An 11,465-nucleotide genomic window follows, 5' to 3' on the forward strand; every position below is an offset into this window, starting at 1 on the left:
ATTTTTAGTGGAGACGGGGTTTCTCCGTGTTGGTCAGGCTGGTCTCGAACTCTAGACCTCAGGTGATCCGCCTGCCTCAGCCTCCCAAAGCGCTGGGATTACAGGTGTGAGCCACCATGCCTGGCCGAAATTATTATTATTATTATTATTATTGTTATTATTTTCTGAGATGGAATCTTGCTCTGTCACCCAGGCTGGAGTGCAGTGGCGTGATCTCAGCTCACTGCAAGCTCTGCCTCCCAGGTTCATACCATTCTCCTGCCTCAGCCTCTGGAGTAGCTGGGACTATAGGCACCCGCCACCATGCTCGGCTAATTTTTTGTATTTTTAGTAGAGATGGGGTTTTACCATGTTAGCCAAGATGGTCTTGATCTCCTGACCTCGGGATCTGCCTGCCTCGACCTCCCAAAGTGCTGGGATTACCGGCATGAGCCACCGTGCCCGGCCGGAAATTATTTTTTTAAAGATGACAAGTAATAGCAAGACTGTGGATGATATGGAGCCCTTATGTATTGCTAATTTAACTATGGAATACAGCAACCACATTAAGAAACTAGTAGTTTCTCAGAATGTTATACATATAATTCCTTGCAATTCCACTCCTGGGTATGTACCCACAAAAAGGAAAACACATGGCCACATAAAAGCTTGTGTGAATGTCCACAGCAGTGCTATTCATAATAGCCAAAATGCGAAAAAAACAAAAAACAAATATCTATCAACTCCTGAAAGGAGAAACAATATGTAGTATATTCATACAATGAAATGTTCTAAAATCAAAGTAAATGAAATGATATGTACAGAATGAACCTCGAAATGTAAAGTGAAAGAATTCGGACACAAGAGACCACACATCACATGATTCTCTTTATAAGAAATATCCATAATTGGCAGATTCATGGAGATGGAAAAAGATTAAAGTTTAGCTAAGGCTGAGGGTGAGAATATTCCAAAATTATATTGTGAATAGGGTTGCAAAAATCTATAAATCTATTAAAGTCATTGAATTATGCATCTAAAACATTTTATGATGGTATGCCAATTATATATGAAGAAATTTTTAAAAAAAATATTTAATGGATTTAAAAAATCGTATCTTGTATACCAATGATGTCTAAGGTTAAATTCATTATAATTATTTTAATTTCTAATGCTAAGGACAATTTTTTCTTAATAGTATTGATTCATATCTTAAGGTCTGTTGTGTCCTATCCCTGTGTCATATGAGGACATTAAGAAAAAGACTGAAAAACCACAGTTTCATTTTACTGATATCAAAAAGGACTTGTTGATAAAAGGAATCATAGAGCTCCTATTTTTTTCAAAATTATTCTTGATATTTTATTTCGTTTAGTTGAAAATAATCTTGAAGTTCCCAAAACTTCACTGATTATTAGAGAAAAATATTCCTTTTTTAAGAACAAGGAAATTCTATTCTTATTGTCCTAAGAGTTTTCTCATAAATAGCTATTATTTTAACAGAAAAATATGGAATTTTGAGACCTTATTACTTGACTTTTCTCATTTAATATCTTTTTTTTTTTTTTTTTTTGAGACAGTCTTGCTCTGTCACCAAGACTGGAGTGCTGTGGCACAATTTTGGCTCACTGCAACCTCCACCTCCTGGGCTCAAGCAATTCTCCTGCCTCAGCCTCCCAAGTAGCTGGAATTACAGGCACTTGGCAGCTGATTTTTGTATTTTTAGTAGAGATAGGGTTTCGCCATGTTGGCCAGGCTTGTCTTCAACTCCTGACCTCAAGTGATCCACCCGTCTTTGTCTCCCAAACTGCTGGGATTACAAGCTTGAGCCACCTTGCCTGACATAATATCTTAATGTGATTATTGACACTATTGATTTTCAAATATTTAAATTACCTTTAATAACTAGAATGAATCCTTCTTTGCATTTTTTAATCTTTTGTAGATTTGCATCAAAGATTATGAGCAACATGGATCTGTAATGTTCTTTCTTAAAAAGGTAATAGAATTTATTGTGAAACTCTCTGGTCCTAGAGTTTTTGTTTTAAGAAAATTGTTAATTGTAATTAATTTCCTTTAATAGCTAGAGGGCTATTCATTTTTACCATTTACTTTTGTTTTACTTTTGATAATTTGTGGGTTTTCTAGAAAGTTAACCATTTCAAGTACATTTCCATATTAATGACCTAAGTTGTATATATCTTTCTACGATCTCATTAAAGTCTGTATGCATATTAAGGATGTCATCACTTTTTATTCTTCATATTGGTTAGTTGAGTAATCATCATTTTTCTTCAGTGAACCTCACCAGAGGTTTATCAGTTTTACTAACTGTTTTCAAAAATTGATATATAATAGTTGTAAATATTTTGGGAGTACATGTGGTATTTTAATACCTGTATACGAATCCTTTTAAAGAACCAAACTCTCACTATTCTTCTTGTTATATGTTTGGACTTTAAAAATTAATTTCTGTTATTTTTCTTATTTCCTTCATATATTTTATTTTGTTTAAATGTCTTATCTTTTTTGTAAATTTCTGAATTGAATAATTATGTCAGAGGAAATCAGAATTTATCATTTTGTAATGTATTACATATTAGAAACATGTATTATATATCCTGTTATAAAATTTGCCCTAAAAAGCATTGCTTTTCAACTAGCACACAAAATTTTATATATAGCACCTTCATTATTAGTCAAATTAGAATATTTTCTGAATTATTTTGTATTTGTTCTTAGACATGTGGGTCATTTAGAAATATAGTTATTAATATCCAAATAAAGAATCTATTTTCTATTTATATTTTGTGATTTCTGGTTCCATTTCAATCTAGAGTCAGAATATACTCTGAATTATTTCGATCTTTGGAATATGTGGGGACATGCTTTAAGTTCAATATGTCATAACTTTTTATATATTGCACACTCTAAAAAGAGGTGTAAATACTCCTACAACCACTTAGTTTTAAGATCGTAAAAGATATTGCTTGTAAACATTTTACTGATTTATCTATATTGTACTCAAATTTTCAACTAATCTTCTGGATACTTTTCTACAGATGTCAAGAATTAAACTACATTTATACGTTAATGTGGTTAACAGAATTTTGTCATATTGCTATGACAAAGTAGAGTGTTTTTACATACATCAATTATGTCAGTAGTATTAATAAGTGAATAAATATCTTTACATTACTGTGGTCTTTTCCCTTTGTTATTCAATCAATTACCTATCCACCCTCTCGTGGTCATATATATTAATGGACTTTCTAATCTTTTATGTAGGACATGAACTTCATTGTCTGGTCATGCAGGTATGATTGTACGACTGTACGACTGTACAATTTTCTTTACTGACTGCCTGAACATTTTGGAGGAGGAAAGGAACATGTAAAATTATGAGTATTTTTTTTAATGAAAATTGCTCATTCTCCAAGCACCAAATTCCAGTTAATTCTGTCCTTTTTCCCAGTGGCCTCAGCATGCAGATCTAAGTGTACGAATGGCACATGGTTTATGAGGATGCACCTCACTGGACCTTTTCCTGAAGAGGAAGGAGAAAATAGGACTCCATCATTTTCATTTGACATTCTTCCCATGCCCTGTCTTCATTTTGACATTTTTCCCCTTTTTGGAAATGGGCCTTTTTCCTTTCTTGCGAATGCATTTAAGAATTTAAGAATGCATTAAATTTTGCCTCTAAGCATGACTTTAAGTGCAACCTAAGTCTTTTAACATGTTATACACTCATTACTGTTCAGTTGAAAATATTTTCCAGTTTTCTTTGTGATTGCTTCTACCACCCACAGGTTATTTAGGTTACTTAAGGCCATCTTTTTTTTTCCCCTGAGCACTCACCACATTAACTATTTCCTGTCTTTTAAGCATTTACTTCATGTATAGTAACCAGTTTCTATCCTTGTTCCGGATAAAAATACTAGCTTGAGATAAGTTATTTCATCTGACTACAAATTGGACATTAAGCATGTTTTGTATGTATAAAATACAGCAGTATGACAAAATTCTGTTAACCACCTTAAAGTTGAAATGTAGTTGAATTTTTGACATCTGTAGACAGAAGATTTCTTGAAAATTTCAGTGTTTGATTACAATATAGAAAAATCAGTATAAGCAGTATCTTTTATGATCTTTAAGTGGTTGTAGGAGTACTTACACCTCTTTTTCATATTCATATTGAAATTTAAAGCCATTTTAAAGTAACTTTTTGTTATCCAGTTATTCACTCAGGGTGATCAGATGTCTATTCAAAACAGCCAACAATGAGCTAAAGGAGTGCTGTTCCAGCCAGAATCCTACTGCTACCACAAGTGATGAAAGCACAAGAAATCCTCCACAAAGGTATTCTACAACTAAACTTCTGAACTAAGGGTTGGAGAAAACTGGCTCTTTAAATTTCAAAATAAAAATCAGTTTGTCTATCAATATAAGGCAATAAATACTCATTCACCACCTCTCATGTGCCAGTAATTTCTAGGGCCCCTATAGAAATCTGACTGCTGTGCACATAGAGGGACTGACACAAAGACTTCAGTCACAGGATTCTTTGGGTGGTTCTAAAATAGAAGAGACACTTACAGGTATCTTAAAGATCAGGCATCGTTCCAATCACTTTATAAGAATTAATGAATTATTATAAATTAATTAATACAGCAAACCTGTGAACTAGTCGGTGTAATTCTTGCTGTTATTATTCCCGTTGTCAGATGGGATAAAAGAAGGTAACTAATTTGTGACAGGGGAAAGTCTCAGATAGTGACCAGTGGATTCAGGATTTAAACCCACAATGCCCGATTCTGGACACTCGCGTTTAATTTCTGCGGCCCTTGCAGCTGCCGGCGCAGGCGCTGCACCCAGCGCTGCTCCGCGCGCCCAGCCCCGCTGGGTCCTGGACCCCGCCGGCAGCCGGCAGTGCCTAAAGGTTAGATCTGAAGGATAGGAGAGTGCTGAGAAGGATAATGCTTTTAGGCAATTAATTGTGTGTTCTTTAAATACGGACATGTTAACCACACGGGGCTAGGCAGCGCATGCCTGAGCTGTTTGGAGTAAAAAACTGCAGGACTTTGCAGCTTCTCTCCATCCTGCAGTTCACTTCTGAACTTGCTCCCTCCTCTTAGGATATTCTTAGACTGCCCGGACTTCACCTCAGCTCTGCCATCGCCCAGCCTTGCACTCATTCCATTCGGACCCCCAAATGCTGACCGGCCAGGGGATCCCATGCTACCCTGCAGACTGGTGTGTGCACAAGGAAACCAGGTCCCAGCCTCTGAGGCTGTCAGTGTTTTGTTAGAAAAGAAGGCACAGCTGAGCCAAATAACTAGACAAATGACTAAATGTCTACTTTCTGAGAACTGTAAAAACAATATTGATGCTCAAAAAATATACATATGTATATATCATGGCAGGAATATAGACAATGGCAGTCAGAGGAAATGATCTCTGAAGACATTTGGATAGGATGGGAACTAGTTTATTTTTCTCAAGATGCACTGCCCAGTTATTTCCAGTTATTCAATTTTTTATGGTATTTAAAATCATGGGATACAATATTGGCTTATAACAGTTTATATGAAATATTGTCACGACAAAACTAAAAGATAAAGTCACTATCAGACTATAAGACATGAACACCAGTGGCAGCCACACAGGTGGGCATTTGGAAGCAAACACTGCCTGGCACCAGCTGCATAGCCTTGGGCAGGTGAGGAAACATATGCTTCTCAGTTCCCTTGTGTTAGGAGATGAGATGGTCAAATATTGTATAGAACTTCACTCCAATGCAGTAACTACTAGCCTCATGTGGCTATTTAAATTTATAATTTAAAAAATGGACATTCATTTCCTCCGTCACTCTAGCCTCATTTCAAGTGCCCAAGAACCCCATGGGGCTAGCTTTCATACTGTACAGCATGCATATATATAAATTCTTCACAGAAAGTTCCTCTGGACAGTGCTGGTGCATCAAGAGAGGGTCAAATATGATTTAGATACAGTGCTGGGAAAATATCACAATTAAGCAAATAATAGATGCAGTGCTAGGAAAATATCACAATTAAGCCAGTAATAATTTTATATTCAGGATTCTTATGTTTGTGAATTTGTAGAGAGCTTGGCGTAGAAGCCTGAGAGCTGTGCTGCAAGTCTTTTTCTTGTAAAAATCACTGGGGCTGACAAACAAATCCTGATAAAGAGAAAGTTTGTTTCAGAAAGTTCAAGTGAGGCAGACTTTGGGACAGCTTGCATGCAAAATATAAAACTTGGTAACTATGAAAAGGAGAAAGATAAATCCAACATTTCCTACATTCACGATGAATAATCAGCACCATTTTCAAATAATTATCAAATTAGGAAAAGACTACCTTTTAAAAACATTGAGCCTTCTACTGACCGACTATAAAGACTATATATAAAGTATCCCACAATTTATTTAGGTCTTCTGAAGCTAAAATGTTTTTAATTTTATTGTATAACCTTAATTAGTTTAATTCCTAGGTTAGCTAACTTTTAATGTTGTTATGAATGTTATTAATTTTAAATGTTTACTTCAAATGTTATTGATGATAGAGAAATAAAAATGATTTTCATATATTGGACTCCTGTCCAGTGTCCTTGCTAAATGTACCTATTAAATCTAATAGCTTATCTGTAAATTATTCTCAATTTTCTGTTGCATTCCATCAATAATTTCTTTCCAGTTATAACATCTTTTATTTCTTTGCTATTACACTAGCTAGGACTTGCAATAATAAATACAGATTTTTTTTGCCTTTAGATTTATTTCAGAGAGAAAGTTTTAGAGACCTTTATTTAGATAATTATCTAAATTACAGATGTAATTTAACAGATCCATATTCACATGTATTTCTGCTCCTGTCATTTTTACTAATAGATGTTTCCACCAATATGACTATTTCATGTAACTTTTCAAGTTTTATCTCCTAACTTTGTTCCTGATATTCTCTAATGATTTTTAATGTCTGTTATTAATGTAGTGATAACATATTTGAAATTACTGATCTTGGGTATTAGAGCCTTCTTCATTTTTCCTTGATAAATTTCACCAGAAATTATCTGGCTTCAATAAGCAGTTTAAGGGATTTTACTTAATTTATTTCCCTTATTTAATATTTGTTTTTCTTCATTGCTTTTCTTGCCCTTATTATTTGCTTCATTCTGCTTTCATTGCTTTTACCTACTTAATTATAATTTAATTTGTTGACTTGGGTGATTATAAATATTCAGATATGTTTCCACTTTACAGATTTAGGCAACAAAATTTCCTCAAAGAAACTTATAGAAAAAAAATCCAATAATATATAAAATGATATATCATGACAGAAGGGCTTCTTATTAGAAACAAATTGGTTAGTTAAATATTTGAAACTCATAGCTGCAAATAATCACATTAAGAGAATAAAGGGAAAAACAAAATTGTCTCAAAAAATGTATAAAACTACATAACAGAATTCAGTATGCAGTCATGATACGTACTCTCAGCAAAGTAGGAATACAAAAAAATGATTAATCTACTACATTTATCTGCAAAAATGACAAAACGCTCATACATGGAAATTAAAGACCATTCCTTTGTGGATAATATGGCACAGGATATGTTATGAAAGGCTGTCCTGCCACAACACAGCACAGATGGGGTTGAAAGAAAGGAAGGGAAACAAAGGGCTGCCATGAATTAAACCAGTAGAGAAAATAAAAGCCTGGGTCATGCAGGGGACAGTGTCTTATTAGGCCAGCATCAGGACTGGTTGAAGTCTGGCGCTTCTAACACAGTGGGAAAATGAGCATAGTAATCACAATAAAGAAAGACATCTGAAAGGTGCTAACTTAGCCTCGGATCAGAAGTGCTCTCTGCTAATGCCTTGCTGGTGAAAAGCGTATCCAGTGTAAGCCCTCAGAAATCCCAGAAAACAAAGACCAAAAGAAACGGCGCCTTGTCAACCGAACGAATTGAAAAAAGCTTCCTGCCGCGATCGGGCATTAAAAGAAAAAAACCACAGACATAAGATGGAGTGAATAAAAAAAGAATTTATATAATTCATGGATGAAATGTTTCAGAATCTATAGGATTATATTTTTTTTAAGGCAGACAGATACGAAAATACAACGAAGCGTGCATGACCGAAACCAGAAGAGATTAAAGTAAAACCTCATTCTCCTGAGGAAATCGTGTGAGAAGGGACTTAGGGACTGCCGGAACACAGCGAAGCAGAGGCAGAAGGCAGACAAAAGGGGCTGGGTTGGTCCCCGCCTGTGTGAACGAAAAAATATGTCAGATTGGAAAATTGCGGTAAAAACCAGGCAGAGCACGTACGTTGCCCCCACAGGAAGTGTCCGCCATGCTGCCTGTGCCCGGAAGTAGGTAGGAACACACAGTCAGAGGGACCCAAAAGCAGGGGGGAAGGAAAAAGAGATGCACACTTCCCCCAGAGAAGCCTCCGAGCGCGGCCGCCATTCCGGGCCTCAAGCCCATAAAGAAAAAATACCGGAGAGGTTCTGGCACCATTTCGGGGTGCCAAAGCAGCCATGGAAGAGCCTGCAGCTCCCTCAGAAGCCCACGAGGCAGCCGGGGCCCAGGCAGGTGCTGAGGCAGCAAGGGAGGGTGTGTCTGGGCCGGACCTTCCCGTCTGTGAGCCCTCCGGGGAATCTGCTGCTCCAGATTCAGCCCTGCCACATGCGGCAAGGGGCTGGGCCCCCTTCCCTGTAGCTCCAGTCCCTGCCCACCTCCGCAGAGGAGGCCTGAGGCCTGCCCCAGCCTCAGGAGGAGGAGCCTGGCCCAGTCCGTTGCCAAGCCGAAGCAGCGGCATTTGGACAAAGCAGATCATCTGCAGGTATTATATACATGGGCAGTGCAAGGAGGGGGAGAACTGTCGCTATTCGCACGACCTTTCTGGTCGGAAGATGGCCACTGAGGGTGGCGTTTCGCCGCCTGGGGCCTCTGCAGGTGGAGGCCCTAGCACGGCTGCGCACATCGAGCCCCCGACTCAGGAAGTGGCGGAAGCCCCCCCGGCTGCATCCTCCCTTTCCTTGCCTGTGATTGGCTCGGCTGCTGAAAGGGGTTTCTTTGAAGCCGAGAGAGACAATGCAGACCGTGGAGCTGCTGGAGGAGCAGGTGTAGAAAGCTGGGCGGATGCCATTGAGTTTGTTCCAGGGCAGCCCTACCGGGGCCGCTGGGTTGCATCTGCCCCCGAGGCTCCTCTACAGAGCTCAGAGACTGAGAGGAAGCAGATGGCTGTGGGCAGTGGGTTGCGGTTTTGCTATTATGCTTCCAGGGGAGTTTGCTTTCGTGGGGAGAGCTGTATGTACCTCCATGGAGACATATGCGACATGTGTGGGCTGCAGACCTTGCACCCCATGGATGCTGCCCAGAGGGAAGAACATATGAGGGCCTGCATTGAAGCACACGAGAAAGATATGGAACTCTCGTTTGCTGTGCAGCGTGGTATGGACAAGGTGTGTGGCATCTGCATGGAGGTTGTCTATGAGAAGGCCAACCCCAATGACCGCCGCTTTGGCATTCTTTCCAATTGCAACCATTCCTTCTGTATTAGGTGTATCCGCAGGTGGAGAAGTGCCAGACAGTTTGAGAACAGGATCGTCAAGTCTTGCCCACAGTGCAGGGTCACCTCTGAATTGGTCATTCCCAGTGAGTTCTGGGTGGAGGAGGAGGAAGAGAAGCAGAAACTTATTCAGCAATACAAGGAGGCAATGAGCAACAAGGCCTGCAGGTATTTTGCGGAAGGCAGGGGTAACTGCCCATTTGGAGACACATGCTTTTACAAGCATGAATACCCTGAGGGCTGGGGAGATGAGCCTCCTGGGCCAGGTGGTGGGTCATTCAGCGCATACTGGCATCAACTTGTGGAGCCTGTGCGAATGGGAGAGGGCAACATGCTCTATAAAAGCATTAAGAAGGAGCTTGTCGTGCTTCGGCTGGCCAGTCTGTTGTTTAAGCGGTTTCTTTCACTGAGAGATGAGTTACCCTTCTCTGAGGACCAGTGGGACTTGCTTCATTATGAGCTGGAAGAATATTTCAATTTGATTCTGTAGCATCGTGCTGTGGCATGTGGTCTAGTCTGCTGAGGTTCTGTCGTCTGCTATTGCCTGTTTTCCCTGTGTTGACACTCTTACTGCTTTCAGGGGCTGTTGAGGCAGTGCTTCTGTTTTCTTGTCTATTCTGCATATCTTTCCCCCTAGGATTATGGTGATTATCTGTGTTAAAAAATAAGTCCTTAAAGTTACTGTTTTGGTGAAATTAATATTAATGTCAGCTTATGGCTTTTTTTTGTCATCTCTGTTGTCAACAGGATTAACTCAGTTCTAGTGTAGTGTTTACTGAATTTCCACACTTATTTTGAAGACCCTCAAGAGTAAATGTGGCAGAGTGAAAGGAGAAGTTTTAATTGAACTAGTAGCTTTGTGCTATAATAGCCTTAACAAATGGACCCTTGCAGGGCTTTGCAGCTGCTCATCTGTTTGTTTACAGTTTGTTCTTTCCCTCCTTCCCCTTCAAGTGCACTTGTTAAACTGTGATGAACTTGTGATTTTGTGTTTTACTTGACCAAAACCAAGTGTATATGTTTACATGTTTTTATCCTGTTTAGCTTGACATGAAATAATTTATATTTGGAAATATATATTTAAGAATTATATATATAAAAATATATATGTATAAGAGTTATGTATTTGAAAAAAATATATAAAAGAATATACATCACAATATAATATTTATGTTTATGTAATAAAGTAAATACAGAGCTGAAAGCTGAAGGTCAAAGCCTAACAGGATTGGCTGTTGTGTGGATGTGAGTTGTGTGAATAATCTTTCTGTCCCTCGCACAGAAGCCAGTAATTAGCATCTAATGAAAAGGACTGTTCAAGTGGGTCTGGCCAAATGTGACAGATGCAGATCTTAGAGGACTTACAAAGCACTATATTGGTAATTCTTACAATGGCATTAATAGCTTACTCTATAAATACAGAAATGGTTTTCCTATGCAGTTTAGCCACCTTCTCATTAATTCTTTGTAACAGCAAATCCTAGGCTCAGAGGCACAGTGCTTTGTATTTGATATACAAAGTCTCTAGACTTTCCCAACAAGGGGCTTTTGACAAAAGAGTTCAACATAAAAGTAACAAGATTATAAAAGGGAAAATAGAACAAAAATATTAAAACCAATGAGAATAAAAGAATGGAAAGATAAAATAATAAAATATAGAAAGCACTAAAAACTAAGTGTAAGACTAATATAGAAAATCTACATACAACTTAATTAGATTAAATGAAAGCAGTTTAAAGACTGAAAGTCAAAGGCTATAAGACTTCATTACAATCAGAATGAAACATCCTGTTTAAAATACACACAACATGAAAATACAGAAACACTCAAAGTAGTAGGATGGGAAAAAGCCGAACAGGTGCTGTGGACTCTCTTGATTGTAGACAAAGT

General features: G+C 38.1%; 1 protein-coding gene and 1 non-coding gene across 2 annotated transcripts; one reads left to right on the forward strand and one right to left on the reverse strand.

Moving 5' to 3' along the window:
• On the reverse strand, positions 4,821 to 4,890 carry MIR4508 (microRNA 4508). Its single transcript, NR_039731.1, has one exon. It is a non-coding gene; the product is annotated as a microRNA 4508 (primary transcript).
• Positions 8,433 to 10,803, forward strand: MKRN3 (makorin ring finger protein 3). The gene has a single exon (NM_005664.4). It carries the CDS (start codon positions 8,542 to 8,544, stop codon positions 10,063 to 10,065), a length of 1,524 nt encoding a protein of 507 aa, NP_005655.1. The 5' UTR covers positions 8,433 to 8,541; the 3' UTR covers positions 10,066 to 10,803.

Source organism: Homo sapiens, chromosome 15, assembly GCF_000001405.40.
Source record: "Homo sapiens chromosome 15, GRCh38.p14 Primary Assembly".
Lineage (NCBI taxonomy): Eukaryota > Metazoa > Chordata > Mammalia > Primates > Hominidae > Homo > Homo sapiens.